Source organism: Homo sapiens, chromosome 11 (assembly GCF_000001405.40).
Source record: "Homo sapiens chromosome 11, GRCh38.p14 Primary Assembly".
NCBI classification, from domain to species: domain Eukaryota; kingdom Metazoa; phylum Chordata; class Mammalia; order Primates; family Hominidae; genus Homo; species Homo sapiens.
In genome coordinates, this window is record NC_000011.10 from 91,782,804 (window position 1) to 91,799,572 (window position 16,769).

General features: G+C 38.8%; 1 long non-coding RNA gene across 8 annotated transcripts in view, besides 1 other annotated feature; it reads left to right on the plus strand.

The window, feature by feature from the left end:
• Positions 1 to 11,518: 11,518 nt before the first annotated feature.
• LINC02756 (long intergenic non-protein coding RNA 2756) overlaps positions 11,519 to 16,769 on the plus strand; it is a 78,165-nt gene continuing 72,914 nt past the window's right edge. For 6 of the 8 annotated variants that reach the window (NR_187309.1, NR_187308.1, NR_187312.1 and 3 more), the window contains exons 1-3: positions 11,519 to 11,619; positions 12,506 to 12,609; positions 13,198 to 13,305. This is a non-coding gene — a long non-coding RNA (long intergenic non-protein coding RNA 2756). Of the gene's footprint in view, positions 11,620 to 12,505; positions 12,659 to 13,197; positions 13,306 to 16,769 lie in introns of all 8 variants that reach the window. The other 2 variants (NR_187311.1, NR_187310.1) reach the window with 2 other exon arrangements.
• Positions 15,850 to 16,349: an enhancer, noted in NCBI's record as "H3K27ac hESC enhancer chr11:91531819-91532318 (GRCh37/hg19 assembly coordinates)". NCBI's record gives its function as "activates a minimal SCP1, AML or CMV promoter by ChIP-STARR-seq in primed H9 embryonic stem cells {active_cell/tissue: H9 hESC(primed)}" and the evidence as "EXISTENCE:reporter gene assay evidence [ECO:0000049][PMID:30033119]".

Below are 16,769 nucleotides of genomic sequence, written 5' to 3' on the forward strand. Positions count from 1 at the left end.
TACAGCCTCTCTCCCAGCTGCTTTCACAGGCTGGCATTGAGTGTCTGTGACTTTTCCAGGTGGATGGCGCAAGGTGTTGGTGGATCTACCATTCTGGGGTCCGGTGGATGGTGGCCCTCTTCTCACAGCTCCACTAGGCAGTGCCCAAGTAGGGTCTCTGTATGGGGGCCCCAACCCCATATTTCCCTTCCACACTGTGCTAGCAGAGATTCTCTATGAGTGACCTGCCCCTGCAGCAAGTTTCTGCCTGGGCATCCAGGCATTTCCATACATACTCTGAAATCTAGGTTGAGGTTCCCAAACCCCAATTCTTGATTTATGTGTACTTGTCAGCTCAACACCATGTGGAAGCTGCCAAGTCTTGGGGCTTGCACCCTCTGAAGCCACAGCCAGAGCTCTACATCTTTCAGCCAAGGCTGGAGCTGCTGGAGCTGCTGCTCTGAAGCCACAATGAGGGCTCTACGTTAGTCCGTTTCATCCAATGCTGGAGCTGCTGGGACACAGGGCACCAAGTCTCCACACTGAACACAGCACAGGGACCCTAGGCCTGGCCCACAAAACCATTTTTTCCTCCTAGGCCTGTGGGCCTGTGATGGGAGGGAGTGCTGTGAAGATCTCTAATATATCCTAAAGACATTTTCCCCACTGTCTTGGAATTAACATTCAGCTGCTTGTTACTTATGCAAATTTCTGCAACTGGGTTGAATTTCTCCTCAGAAAATGGGATTTTATTTTCTACTGCATTGCCAGGCTGCAAATTTTCTGAACTTTTATGCTCTCCTTCCCTTATAAAACTGAATGCCTTTAACAGCACCCAAGTCACCCTTTGAATGCTTTGCTGCTTAGAAATTTCTTCTGCCAGATACCCTAAATCATCTCTCTCAAGTTCAAAGTTTCACAAATCTCTAGGGCAGGGGTAAAATGCTGCCAATCTCTTTGCTAAAACATAATAAGAGTCATCTTTGCTCCAGTTCCTAACAAGTTCCTTATTTCCATCTGAGACCATCTCAGCCTGGTCTTTATTGTCCATATCACTATAAGCATTTTGAGCAATGCCCTTCAACAAGTCTCTAGGAAGCTCCAAACTTTCCCACATTTTCCTGTCTTCTTCTGAGGCTTCCAAACTGTTCCAACCTTTGTCTGTTACTCAGTTCCAAAGTCACTTCCACATTTTCAGGTATTTTTTCAGAAGTGCCCCACTCTACTGGTACCAACTTACTGTATTAGTACATTTTCATGCTGCTGATAAAGACATACCCAAGACTGGGTAATTTACAAAAGAAAGAGGTTTCATGGACTTAAATTTCCATGTGGCAGGGGAGGCCTCAAAATCATGGCAGAAGGTGAAAGACCCATCTCACATGATGGTAGACAAGAGAAGAGAGCTTGTGCAGGGAAACTCCCTTTTTTAAAACCATCAGATCTTGTGACACTTATGCACTATCCTGAGAACAGTATGGGAAAGACCTGCCCCCATGATTTAGTTACCTCCCACCAGGTCCCTCCCATGACATATGGGAATTCAAGATGAGATTTGGGTGGGGACACAGCCAAACCATATCATTGTGCCAGCAAAATTACATGTACATAGGGGGAGAAAAAGAAACAACACTGATCACACTTCATTCCCAAGCAGTAATTTAGGGTGGATAATAAAGCTAAACTTAAAACATGGAATAACATTTTATGAAAAAAAATAAGAGAAAATCTTTATGATCTTAAAGTAGGCAAAGCTTTTTTGAAAATAACTTTTTTACTCTAATTCCAGGTTACTGAATGAAGCCAATCTGATTCCTTTATCTGAGCTCATTTGTTAATGAAGAGCAAAAGGTATAAAATGTAGCCTATTTCAGAAAACACAAGGAGAATACTTGGAAAATTCAACCTTAGGAAGAATTTAGTACATAAGGTTGGAAAGAAAATATTTTTTGAGCAGAAGATACCCTCTTCAGATGCCTCTGTAATAAAAAGATAGCCCTCTTATTTGTAATATGTACCTTGTTGTATAAACGATTACCCTATGGTGACTACTCTGTTATAGAGACATGCAAGGACAGGCCTGCATTCCTATCATTAATGGGTGGTCCTTCCTTGAGAAAGTGGCCATTTCCTGGGGTCAGTCATCCTGATAGTGGTGGGTCTTTGGGTAGAAAACCAATCATGAGGAATGCTAAATTTTCTACTTCTTTTGGTCTATATTTAGACCAAAAGTTTATCAAGGATGGCAAGTACCTGGCACATTGCTCCTTACCTTTAGAAGACACAATTAACATAGCATAAGCAACTACCTCCTATTTATTAGAATTGGCATTTAAGAAAACAATCAAGGTATTCTTAATCTAAATGATTAGAAAAGGTACCCTCGATGGTATGTTTTAAGATGGTGTTTGTTGGGTGAAATCCATCCTGGAATAAAAAGGGAGGGACATAGAGATTTTTTTTTCTAGGGCTCCTCATAGATGGCACAAAGACTAAAAGCTCAGGGAAATAAGTTAAAATACATTTGGAAATGTCATATGCTCTAGATATCTGGCATTCTGTATTTATTGGCTTTTCATTACCTCTAAGATTTTTATGCATGTATGTATGCATTTAATGTATTTATTTATTTATTTATTTTTGCATTTTGACTTTGCCTATGAAAATCAATTTCCCAGCTACCTTCTGCTTTTCTAACAAAACTCTGACTTTGTCTTATACTTTTGTCATACTTCCGTGTGTTTCGGGGTAGTCTCAGGAATTGAGTGCTGATTGGTGCAAGCTAGTCATGCAGAGTACCATTTTTGTTACGGGCAATCAGTGCATGTATAAGGCAATGCTGGCCAAAGAGACACAAAGGGATGTCTGAGGGGTTTTAAGAAAGACTTTCTTGCTCTTTAAAACACATGAAAAGGTAGCCTTCCTCTTCCTCTGACCATCATCATGACTGGAGATAATGCCTGAAATTGCTGTAGTAATTGTGTGTCTCTAAGTGGCACAAATATAAAGAGGATGGTGAAACAAAAAGATGGAGGAAGCCAAAACTGGATGACATCATTGAATTTCTGATCATGTGGTGCCAAAGATCTGCTTTCCTCTGATGTTCTTGATAGAGTCCCATAAAGTTATATCAATTTAGTATAAGATGTTTTCCATTACTTGCTACTAAAGGCATACTAACTAATATGCTTTTTTTGTTTCTTTAAAAAGCTTCAGCCTTTCCTTCATTTGAGTAGTTAGGCTATAGGGATTTATGAAAATGGTTTTGGTTCATGTTTGACCTAAGTTAAAAATGGAGGAGAACAGTTCCATGCCCTCGTGTTCCCATAATCACCCTGCCTGGAAAGAGGTTGAGTGCCAACTTTGAAGAGTTTGAGTTTGATTTTAATTAGGAAAGATGTTATTCTTCTCAGACCTTCGAATCACACTAAGGAAATCACTCTCTGGCAGTTGAACACTTGTACACAGAGCCATTATGCTCAGAGACACTGGAGAAAGAAAAAAAGGCTGCTTGGATGCCTGCTGGCTCAGTGGGTACTTATCCAGGAAAAGGCGAGAGTCAAATTCTTTGAACAATGATTACCAGACTCCAAGAAACCACTTCTGTATTTACTTTTCTTTCTATTTTACAAGTTAGGACATGTTTAGGAGGCAAGATCGTTTTTATTCTAAGTTTTCTTTTTTGATGCTAATCACTCAATGACATTTTCTCCTTCTGGGCTGAGGTTTTCCACATTTGGTCTCTGTCTTCTTTTTGGCTTCATTAATTGGACCATAATCCCCTTCCCATCTGCCCTGCATTACCACTGATTTTCAGAGCAATCTCACAAAGGTGGAACAAGTACAAGAATGTGGCTCTTTGCTGGTGATGATGCAGCAGACAAGGAACTGAAAATATGGTGGCAGAAGATACATCTGGGTAGAGACTACCTCGTGAGTATTCACAGGGTTCCAAAGGATTCTCCACACCACTCACCCTCCAAACTCTGGTTTGTCACAGCACAATAAAGTAACCACATTTGAGCATGTTTATAAATCCTAAGCTTAACCCCCTTACATAATATATTTTGTTCACATTGTTTCTTAAGTGCCTTCAATTCAGCATTTCATTTACAATAATGGTTCTCATCTTTGAATACTAAGTATCTGCCAGGCACTATGATACCTGATTTGCAGATAAATCTTATTCATTCCACGCAGTTATCTAGCAAAGTTGGTATTATATTTTATATGTGAAGAAACTGATTAAAGGAGAATGATTTGCCCAGAGTCCCCCTGTATGTAAGTGCCAGAACGTAGATTCATTCTAGTCCTATCTGACTCCTGTCAATTCTCTTAAGCACTAAACTGGTTTCTCTTTTTCTTTGGCATTCACCTTCCAAATATGAATTTCTTAAGGGTATATGTACAATTCGCCCAGACCGAGTATACACATAAGTGCTCATAAACAGCTATTGCTATTAGTGTAGAATACTGTGAATAATATAGGCAAAAGGAATTTTATTGATTCAGAATAAAATTCTTGGTGAGTGAACATCAACTCTGAAGAAATTATCCTAAGTGTGGCACTTAGCTCAGTTATTTAAGATAGTTCTTAGTCAAGCTAGGTCTAAGATTTGGTGGCTATAATAGATATTTAGCCAAACTCTTGGTGGTAAGAATTGGTTCTGATTTATCTCTATTCCTCCAAGAATTGACACACAGTGGCAGGCACATATAAAATATTAAATAAATGTTTGTTAAGTTGAATTAAAACACATTACAGGCCAGGCGCAGTGGCTCATGCCTGTAATCCCAGCACTTTGGGAGGCCGAGGCAGGTACATCACCCAAGGTCAGGAGTTCGAGACCAGCCTGACCAATATGATGAAACCCCGTCTCTACTAAAAATACAAAAAAATTAGCCAGGCATGGTGTTGTGCACCTGTAGACCCAGCAACTTGGGAGGCTGAGACAAGAGAATTGCTTGAACCTGGTATGCGGAGGTTGCAGTGACGGAGATTGCACCTGCCCTCCAGCCTGGGTGACAGAGCTAGACTCTGTCTCAAAAAAAAAAAAAAAAAAAAAAAAACACATTACGTAGAGGGAAGGAAAATATATTTTAGTTATACATTTAAATAAATACAAATAAAAGTACAAAAGACCCTTTAACTGCCTCTCTATTTTAAATATATTTTGTAACCCCGATATTAAGAGAAAACATGGAGGTGGAAAGTCAAAGAAATATTTGCTCAAATCCTTCTCCTTTATTAAAAAGTTATATGATTCTGGATAAAACAATAAACATTTAAATTCTCAGCTTTTTCTTCTATTAAATTGAAAATCATATCCAACTCATGGAGTTTTTAAGAATATATATATAACTTATAAATTACATAAAAAATTGTTATATGTATTACATATATAAGATACATATACAAACATACATATACATGTAATGCAATCATGCAAAGCTTAACATGGAGATACATTCTGAGAAATGTGTTCTAGGTGATTCTGTCACTATGTGAACACCACAGAGTACACTTACAGAAACCTAGATCGTGCATCCTACTACATGCCTAGCCTATATGATATAGCCTTTTGCTCCTAAGCTACAAACCTGTACAGCATGTTACTGTACTCACTACTATAGGCAACTGTAACACAATGATATTTGTGTATCTAAACATATCTTAACATAGACAAGATATACACTAAACATACAGTATTTTATACTTATGAGACCACTATCTTATATGTGGTCCATAATTGACCAAAGGTGGATATACGGCACATTACTATATATTTAATATGTAAGATATATATCATATATGTAACATATAGTATATATCACATATGTATTACACATTACACACATATGTGATATATACTATATATTACATATTTTTATCATAAACTTATGAGTATTATTTTCTGTATCATATATAAATATGAAATATATGTATGTCACATATATGTGACATACATGTTATATATAAGGTAATCCGTCTATGTATTAGTTTTTGCTGCAGTAACAATCAACTGTAAAAATATCAATGACTTATAAAAACAAATGTTTATTTCTTGCTCTTTTTACATAAGGTCTGCAAGAAGTGTGCTGCAGCTCTGCTCTAGACTGCAGGTGGGTGTAGACCTATTCCATGTTTCTTTTAATCTAAGACCCAGAAGGACCTGCTGACTCATGGAAGAGGGCAAAAACACAAAAGTACTGGTAGAAACTTACAATGTCTCTAAAAGCTTCTCACATTCTATTTCCAAAGTTAGTCACATAGCCAAGCCAAAATAAATGAGTCAGGAAGTGTACCCACCTACAAAGAAAGTGGGTAATATAATTATTCACAATTATATCACCAACCACCATAGAGATATTTTTAAAAATTTAATTTCCATTTCTGTTAAAAAACAAACAAACAAACATTTATGGTATACTAGCTGTGTCCCATATATTGTGCTAGTGGCTGGGAATATAAATATGAAAAGTTTTAGATCCTGACCCTAAGGAGCACAAAATATCATAAAATGATATTTTTTAGAATCTCATCAGTCTAATACTGTTGCATCCCAAGCTGTATAATTCATTGAACAAAATTTTCTATAGTTAATACCTGTTATAAAGTACATGTATGTATACATATATCCAGTCTGGGTGACAGAATGAAACTCTCTCTCTCTCTCTGTGTTTCTCTCTCTGTCTTAAATAAATGTTTATTAAGTTGAATTAAAACACATTACATAGATGGGACAAAAATACATTTTAGTTCATATACATATATATACATACATCTATATATGTGTGTGTATGTGTATATATACATATATATAGAGAGATAGATAGATAGATAGACAAATAGATAGATAGATATAGACAGACAGAGAGAGAGAGACTCACTCTGTCACTCAGGCTGGAGTACAGAGGCGCTGTCATGGCTCACTGAAGCCTCGACCTTCCCAGGCACAACCGATCCTCGCATTTCCACCTCCTGAGTAGCTGGGACTACATGCATGCACCACCATGTCTGGTTTATTTATTTATTTATTTTGTATTTTCTAGAGACAGGGTTTCATTATCTTGCTCAGGCTGGCCTCAAGCTCCTGGGCTCAAGCGACTCACACACCTCAGCATCCCAAAGTGTTGGAATTACAGGTGTGAGCCACGGTGCCCAGCCTAAAGTATATATTTTTTTACTAAGTTTTCTAACTTTAATATTTTTGCTTATCTGAAGAAAATTATGTTGCTGAAAAACCATCCAACATTAAAGATGAACAGTCAGTATCCAAGTTAAGAACTGAATAGTCACATTAGCTAGTGCAACTTTTATATATTCCACATTTTCAATTGCTATCTTGTTAGAAGTTTGTGGTCCCATCTGTTAAATATGGCCATATTAAAACTGACATGAAAGAGTCTCCAGTTTGTTATTTTCTGTTTATAACTTTTAGCCTAAATGTTGTTCATAAAATACACTTTCTTACTTAAATTCTTAATGAAAATGTATTTTTAAAAACCCAGAAAGCTGGCAGAACCTTTCTGCTAATTGAAAATGTGGTCAGGTTTTCTATGAACTTTCTGTCTGAAAGCAGCGCTGAGCTTGGAACTGCACATGTGTATTTTTGCACACATGCAAAAACTTTTAGCAAAAAAAAGTTTTAGACAGGTCTTGCATCAAATTACTCAATTTTAAAGGTTGCCATGGAAACAGATTAGCCCTCTGGAAGTGCAAAACCATGCTTGAGTCTAATGCAAAGAACAATCCATAGTATGAAAGAGAAGAACAGCTGGGAGCTGAGGTAGTGTCAGCTGACATGTCAGACAGTAGCCAGACAAAGTGAGCCAGGCACTGTCTGGGAAAAAAGGGGAGTGGGGGCTGGGGACGCAACTGAACACTGGCTACAGAGTGAACAAAATGGCCCAGCTGTTCACTCTCATCATAACTAAGAAAATATAGAGAATTCCAAGGACGAAGATTAAATTTACTAAGAGAATGAATATTTAAAATAAAATGGATTGCCCAAAGCAGCCTCCACCAGATGCTTTTGACTAGAAAGTGCAAGCAGGACTCTTCGTGGTAGGCCCAGTATCCTGGTTGCTAATGTGTTTGGGATATAAAAACTGAGTGTAATCTCTCTCTTCCTGGGATATTGCCCTTCTTGCTTTGTGGCTGTTGGAAAGTTGCTTTCTTCTAGCAAGTTATCATGTAGCACTTCTCTTCTTGCACTGTCCCGAAGGGGAGGGGCAATTCCTAGACTGAGATGGATTCAAGGAGGCCTCTCATGTACATGGTATCGGTAGCATGATTTGGAGGAATGGCCTGGGAGACAAAATGTCTGGAGTCATCTAAGACACTTGTTTTCTCTGAGTTGCAGTTGTTGAGCAAAGGTAAGGCAGTATGTTTCAAATAAGCTGAGGTCAGAAAAGATGTTTTAGGAAACAAACAGGTTGAAAGACACTGTGTTTTTGAATCTTGAGGACTCACAATCTTATCTTGTAAGTCCTCACTTGATGTCATCAAAGGGTTCCTGGAAACAAAGACGTTAAGGGAAATGACGTATAACAAAACCAATTTTACCACAGGCTAATTGCAATAAACAAGATGTAAGTTTCTACAGCATATTTCTCATCACAAGACCTTCACCAAACTTCTAAGTAAAGACGAAAAACACTCTTAATATTAAATATTGCAAGGTGAGATATATAAGCATTTTTAAAAGATTAATAAAAACAAGCAGGATAATTAGTTAATAATATTTTCAATTAATGATCATGAGTTGCCAGAAGTGCCAGAGCCTATCCTGGTAGCTCAGGGTGAGTGGCAGGAACCAACCCTGGACAAGAGGCTATCCCATGGAAGGGCACATTCACACACACACATACACTCGCTCAGATGAGGACCATGTTAGGGACCACATCACATAATATAAACATCTTTGAGATGTCCAAGGAAACCAGAGTACCTGGAGAAATCCCACACAGATGTGGGGAGAACTTGCAAACTCCACATAATAGCCCTGGCTGGGAATCTATTTTTTTTTATAGCAAAACAATGTTGAATAAAATGATGTTATTCAAAGATCTGCTATATGCTAAATTCTCTACGAAATCCCAAAAAGGAGGAAAAGCTGTCAACTACGTTTAATCCAATGTTTCCTTCATTATTTGGCCACAGAAAACTTTTATCACTTAACACTTGTTAAGATTCCACAGTGATGGGACCTTACAGTTCACTTTGGAAAACACTGGAATAACTGTTCCCAAGGACATTTTCAGCTGTGAAATCTGCATTATATTCCATATTTTTCAACTTTGTTGACATAGGGTCAATGCCGGAAGCTCAACCTTGGCTAGCACCTGGAAAGGAAAGATTGACTATCTTTCAAATCATCATTAAAACACAGAGGGTAGCTTCTGTTTCATATATAAAGTATGGTCAAGTAGTAACTACAGGCAAATTATTTTTAAAAGTGGGTGCTCCCCTGGCCTCCAGAGTGTAATTAAAATGCAAGGCAAGTTCTTATCCACAGGCAGCATCAGGATAATGTAGTTTAAAAATAGCATAAAGAACAAACTCTACAATCTCACAGTTTAAAACTTAACTTTATCACTAATTAACTGTGTGCCTTCGGGCAAATAATTTAACCTCTCTAAATCTCAACTCCTTTTTTCTATAAAATAAAGATAACCACAATGTTCACCAACACAATACCTGACAAATAATAAGTGTTCAATAAAGGTTAGAAAAAAAAAATCAGTAAAAGGAAATTAGGAGGGCCTCAGAAAAACCAGGCAACTTCCCTAAACAAAAAAACAAAAACAAACAAGCAAACAAAAAGAATCATCCTTAGGTCAGGCCTTTTAATGACATCCCTATCATTTTAAATTAAGAAGGAATAATATCTAAAGTTAACTGAGTCTAAACACAAAAAAGGGGGTTTCTTTCTTTAGTTGTACCTTCCTGAATACTTAGGTGATACTTTTTCCAAAATACAAATACAAGCATGTCATTTGCCTACTTAAAACCTTGCTGTATCCTAGGAAGCCACTGCCTGCGCAGTGACTCATCCCACACATTTATCTCTACAACACAGCCCTAGCCCTAGCTCCAGGTTGTGGATTTACTTGTGATATTGTAAATGTACCCTGTTGTGTCCTAAGTTGATGTCTTACACTAGTTGCTCCCTTAGCGTGAAACACCCTTACCCTCACTTATCTGTTTGTTCCTTTATTCCACCCCTGGCTCATGTCACCTCCTCTATAAGCCTTCCCTAATCATCCCCCAGTTCCTGACTCACCCAAGTTCCTCCAGAGAGTTGGCTCTGTCCTCTGGGTGCCCTCATAGTTCACTATAGTGTCCCTGGGCTGCACTGAAATGATTTGCTTCCTCACCAACTTCCCAGCTCCAGCATGCTTCGTGCTAGAGACGCCATTTGTCTTTGTGTCCCCAGAGTCTCACAGGGCTCTGGGCAAACATCTGTTAAAGGAAGGCATGAGGATATAGGGAAATGTTTCTGGAAACTGTTTTACCAAACAAACACTGTTGTGGCATGGAAAAGGTATTTTTTCCCACCAAATGTTTTGTTTTGTTTTTTAGCTACATACTAAAACAAACAAACAAACTTGTATACCTCAGGAACCACAAGCAAAATTAGGGTGCAAATCACAAGTAGAAAAAAACAAATCCGCCACAGACATGAGAGTTAGTATCTTTAGCTATCAGAAAAGGCAAATGTAACAAATGCCAATAAATACCTTGCTCACCTTCCTCAAATGATGGGCTTTAGGATAGTGAAGGGTACTGGTTTCAGTTAGAAGGTGGTCTGGCATTCTCAGATAGGACTCTGAGATAGGATCTGGAAACCTGACGGTACATTTCTTTTTTTCTCTTTTATTATTATTTTTAGTTGACACATAATAATTATACACATTTATGGACTACAGTGTGATATTTCAGTATGTGTATACATTGTATAATGATCAAATCAGAGTAATTAACATATCAATCACCTCAAACATGTATCATTTCTTTGTGTTGGACGTTTTAATGTTCTAATAAGGATCATAGTGGAACTTGAGGCTCTAGAGTTGCCTGTGTTTAAATCCAGGTTCCACTTCTTTCCAGCTCTGAAAATGCGAGAAAATTTTTTCACGTCTCTGAGCCTGTTTCTGCTTCTGTGAATAACCATACACACTCCAGTCCTTAGAACAGGGCCAAGCATATAGTAATGTTACCAGTGGAGGTTCTTGACTACGAGTTGTCCAGGTTCTTGGTGTTTTGAACAAAGAATTGAACAAAATGCACAAAAAAAATGAAGGAATGAAGTAATAAAAGCATAGAATTATTGAAACAAAAGTACACTCCACAGACTAGGAGTGGGATTGTGCAAGTGGCTCAAGAGAGCTAGTTACAGAATTTTCTGGGGCTTAAATATCCTTTAGAGGTTTCCCACTGGGTATTTGATTACACCCTACATAAAGGAAGGAGTGGCCCACCACGTCATAATGGTTGTGGGAGACAACCAATCAGAGGCTGAAGTGAAGTTACAAAGTTACACAAGAAGAATTGGCCCTTGACCAGCCTGATTGGTTGCAGGAGGGGACCAATCAGAGGTACCTCCCATTTTTCATCTGCAGCCCAATGCAAAGGTAACTGATCGTTTTGTTACTTGGGTGTGGAGAGGTGGGGTTTTCCTTTTGATTCAGTTCTAGGAATTCAGCGTGAATCAGCCTTAGGTTCCTTGTCTCTGGACCCTATTCTCCTGCCTCAGTAACTGCTTGTTAATTGTTATTGGATCATTTTACTATTATTTGCATCATTACAGTATTTGTTGTTGTGGTTGTTACATAAAGTTATTTAAGTGTGGTGCCTGGAGCAACGTGTTCATTGTGTGACCTTAGCCCAGGGGAATCTCACACTTTTTTATATGTAACAATAGCAGAGAGGAGGGTTGGAGATAACACAAAAGATTAAATACGATAATCTCAAAATGAAATCATTTGTAAACTGTAAAGAGCGATTAAGTCGTTAGTTCGATATTGTTTATCTTATTTAAACTCAATTAAATAAAATTTGGCCCGTTTGAACCTTCCTCCAGGTGTGGCCATTTGGTTGGGGACCAAGTAATATAAATAATGTGAGCTAATTAGAAACTATAATTGTGAAAGAATTTCTGAAACCTTTCGTAGACTAAGTTTTCAGTGTGGAAGCCTACGAATTCTGCAGCCTCAAGACTACTTATTTTCCCAGATGGCATTCCAGATATACCTAAACTTTTGCAAAACCCATCCTCTTTAAGATGATGGGTAATTGAATAAAAAGAATGAAACTGACTCTGCAAATATCTGGTTAATACATTTACTCACTGCTCAGTACTTCAGTAATATAACAGTGAGCAGAAGCAGGTTGAAGGAGTAAGTCCTGAAACTTCATTCACTAGCAAATGGCTGTGACCTTCAGAGAACCACAAATTGGGAGTGAGTCCATGTATAACAAGCCCTTTTTTGGTTTGTTTGTTTTTACTTTCTCTTTCAGTAATGACATGGATCTGGAGAGATTCTCTTAGGAGAGAATCTGGCTAAGTGTCTAGCAGGATGATTGATTAACAAGATGTTTTGTTTTCATCATCTCAGAGATAAGTACAACTATTCTGTCATCTAATCTGCTAACTCCTACATTATCAATACGGTAGTAATAAATTATGAATAAACATAAAATATACAGAGATAGAAACTGCAAATTTATTTCAGAGAGCACAGTTAAGGGACTGATTTTATTATTTACACTGAATTATAAGCACAATTATTTCCTCCAACTATAACCACAGAAAGCACTTTAAATTAGGATGCTTGGGCTGAACAGCCCAGAAAATCTACTAGCCAGAAATTGAGATGAGCCTGTGGATAGAGTTTTAGGTCATGCTTCCAGTTCACATTCCAGCAGAGATAAATGTGAGGCCTGGGCAGCATTTAGGTTTTGAGGTTTTTCACTCTTTGTTTTTTCCTTTGACTTTTAGCAGTAGCTAGCCATGATGAATGACTATCAATTACAATTAGGGTTGCCAGATAAAATATAGGGCTTCACGTTAAACTGATTTTCAGATAAACAATAAATAATCATTTAGTATAATTTGGCACATATACTAAAAATTTGGGTTATACTAAAAAAATTCATTGTTTATCTGAAATTCAAATATAATTAGACCCTCCATATTCTTTTTTAAACAGCTGTATTGAGGTATAATTGATATGCCAAATAACTGGACACATTCAACTTGTGCAATTTGATGAGTTTGGAGATACACATACATCTGTGAAACCATCACCAAAATCAAGGTAATACATATATCCATCACCACTAAAAGTTTCTTCTTTCCCCTTTTTTTGTTATTTTGAATTTTGTGGTAAAAACACTTACCATGAGATGCTATTAAATTTTTACATGTACAATACTGAATTGTCAACTAAGGGCACTATATTGTAGAGTAGATCTCTAGAACTTGTTCATCTTAAAAAACTGAAGCTTCAAACCTATTGAACAACTCCCCATCCCCATCTCTCCCAGGCTCTGGCAACCATCATTATACTCTGTTTCTGTGAATTGGACTATTTTATTTATTTTTTTTTATTTTTTGAGAGTGAGACAAGGTCTCACTTTGTCACCCAGGCTGGCATACAGTGGTGCAATCATGGCTCACTGCAGCCTCAAATTCCTGGGCTCAAGTGATCCTCCTGCCTCAACCTTTCAAGTAGCTGGGGCTACAGGCATAACCCATCATGCCAATTTTTTTTTTTTTTTTTTTTTTGTAGAGATAGGATCTTACTATGTTGCTCAGGCTGATGCTAAACCCCTGGCCTCAAGTGGTTCTCCTGGCTCAGCCTCCCAAAGCACTGGGATTATAGGCATGAGCCACCACACCTGGCCTGGTTGAACTATTTTAGATATTTCACCATGATTGCAATGGTACAATTATAGCTCACTGTAGCTATTAAGCCAGTCACAGAAGACCAAATATCTCACTTACATGAGGCATAATCACATTTAGCATAACGTCTTCCAGATTCATCCATGTTGTTGAATTTTTATTTGCCAGCTCTGACAACCTTAGTTACAATCAATTTATGAGAAGGAATTATCTGTCTCCCTACATACATTTCCCAGTGAGGAGAAAATAAGTGATTCCCTCAGACACAGAGGTCCTAGACAGCCCCACTAGCTACATTTTCCTCTTCCAAGTACAGAAGGAAATAGCTCCTTTAATGTTAAGAAGGTACCAGTTGCTTCCTTTGCCTGACTAAACTTTTTTCCTGCCTTCCCCTTAACTCTTATTTAAGTGGGAGGAGAGAATGGAAAGGTGATTAAGCATTTCAACCCAATGCCAAAATACACAATTTGCTAAGCAAATGCTTGTAAAAGAGAGGCTTGTAACAGAAAGAAATTGTTCATTAATTTCCTTACACCCTTTTCTTTTATTAATGATTAATCTATTTTGGCAGTTAGCAGAAAACACTTCCCTCTCTTCTAGGGTATTTCTATGAGTCATATTGGAGGGAAAAACAGAGGTTTGGGATTCATACAATGTAGTTTCAAATTCAGCCTCCAGGACATACAAGTTATATGAGCTCTATTTCTTCATATTTTTATCTGTAAAATGGGACAATAACACAGTAATCACCCTTACAGAACTATTGTGAGAGTTAAATGGTATGAGGTACAAAAAGACACAAAATTTTGGGTTGGGATTTTCCTCCTCCTTCTCTTTCTGAATTTTTAGAAAGCTTTGAAAGGTTTATTCATCCTTTCATCTTTTTATTTTTTTAAATATAAAGAGTCAAGGCACTGCCTCCTCTTCTCTCCACCAAGTGTATTTCCCTTGGCACTGCTTGAAGGTTCAGGATTATCTGCTTAGGAATCCTGTCTGTGATCTCTATTTATAATCACCCTTACCTTCACATGTGTCTGCCATATAAACTTTATCTTTGGGGTAAGAATACTTGTAACTTCAAATCTGTAGATAAAAAAATAGTCTATTTTTATAGATGCCTAATACTTTTTGGAAGAGACCATCAAAAATTATTAAGTCACTCTCTGAGTTTGGAAGTAATGGTTAATGTTCACTAAATGTTATAAAGCTGTGAATGTTTCCAAATTTTGAAATATAAATATGCATTATGTTTATGATAAAAATAAAATTAATTGAGTATCAAAATATTAATAAGTTACTAAAGACCTCATAACCAGTCAGAGGCAGAAACAAACCTTGAATTTTGTTCTTCTGACTACAAATAGGGGCTTATTTCCTTCTAGTATGCTGTCTCCTTGGTATGTTCCACTTGCCCTGGTGATCTTACAATGGATAATAATAAATATTCAAAAGTGAACAAACCCTGTCTTCCCCAATAGATCATAATGACCTTGAGAACGGGAGCCATGCCCTGTACTTGCATAAAATGGTGTCATCTAGATCCTAAGTGCTTATCAAATGTTTATTGACTAAATGATTTCCTACTCACAATAACTTTTCATTATCTTTTTAATGGCCATGGTGGTCTGTCTGGAGTGGCCACTGCGAGGACACCATAAGCAGCGGGGTAGGTGCAGCCAGGGCTGCGCACTCTATAGAGCCAACGGGGCCCAGAAATAGGTGATCCCGGCAGGGGGCCTGCACCCTACCAAGTTGGGAGTGGCAGAAGCCTGTGCTCCCAGGGGTGACTGCAGCCACCCAGCTGTGGCTCCAGACCCAGGCCTCCCTGTACTCTCAGGGGCCTGGACAGTACCCTGTCCCCATAGGCTTGGAAATGCTTGCTTCCAATCCCTGGCCTCTTCCAGCCCCTGCCTCACAGTGGAGCGAAGTTGTGGACACGTCCTGATAACTGAGCCTGGGCACTGTCGTGACCTGACCGGGTGTGCATGTGGTTGGGGCAGCACTGATATGCCAGCCTCCCCACTGCCTCTGCCCCCTCTGGAAACTGCTTCTAAGGCTAAAACTTTGAGCACCAACTAGCACAAGAGTGAGGATGTGGCCAGGGGTGGGAAGGCCTGAGGGTGGCTCTGGGCCTGCAGGCACCCCTCAGCACAGCCTGTGCACTGTGGACAGCATGTTGATGGTGGTGGGAGGCAGAGAGGTTCCTAGGTGGGAAAGTGCAGGTCCCCAGTAAAACCCAGCCTTCCAGCCAGGGACAGCCTGAAGCCTGGGGGCTGGGCTGCCCTTTCCAGGTGAAGTCCGCAACCTGGAGTGATAACTTTCTTGATGCTTTTCAGCCAATCGATTGGTGCTTTCTCTGGGCCCACTCATAGACTGATCAGCACACACTTTCTCCTGCTTATGTGACCAATCAGCACACACTTCCTCCATTCTGAGCCCATAAAAACTCTCAACTCAGCCAGACTCAGACAATGGTTGGGACTACCTGCCTGTGGATAGGAGGTACCCACTTCAGGTCTTCTCTCCACTGGGGAGAAGTTTGGTCACTCAATAAAGCTCTTCTCTGCCTTGCTCACCCTCCAGTTGTCTGCTTAACCTCATTTTTCTGGGATATGGGACAAGAACTTAAGAACCACCAAATGGCAGGAGCAAAAGGAGTTGTAACATGTTCCTGGCTGACTTGCTGAGATGTAGGTGGACTGCAGAAGTGAAGAGTATTTACTGTATTAGTCCATTTTCATTCTGCTGATAAAGACATACCCAAGACTGAGCAATTTACAAAAGAAAGAGGTTTATTGGACTTAGAGTTTCACATGGCTTGTGGGGGGGCTCACAATCATGGAGGAAGCCAAGGAGGAGCCAGTCATATCTTAC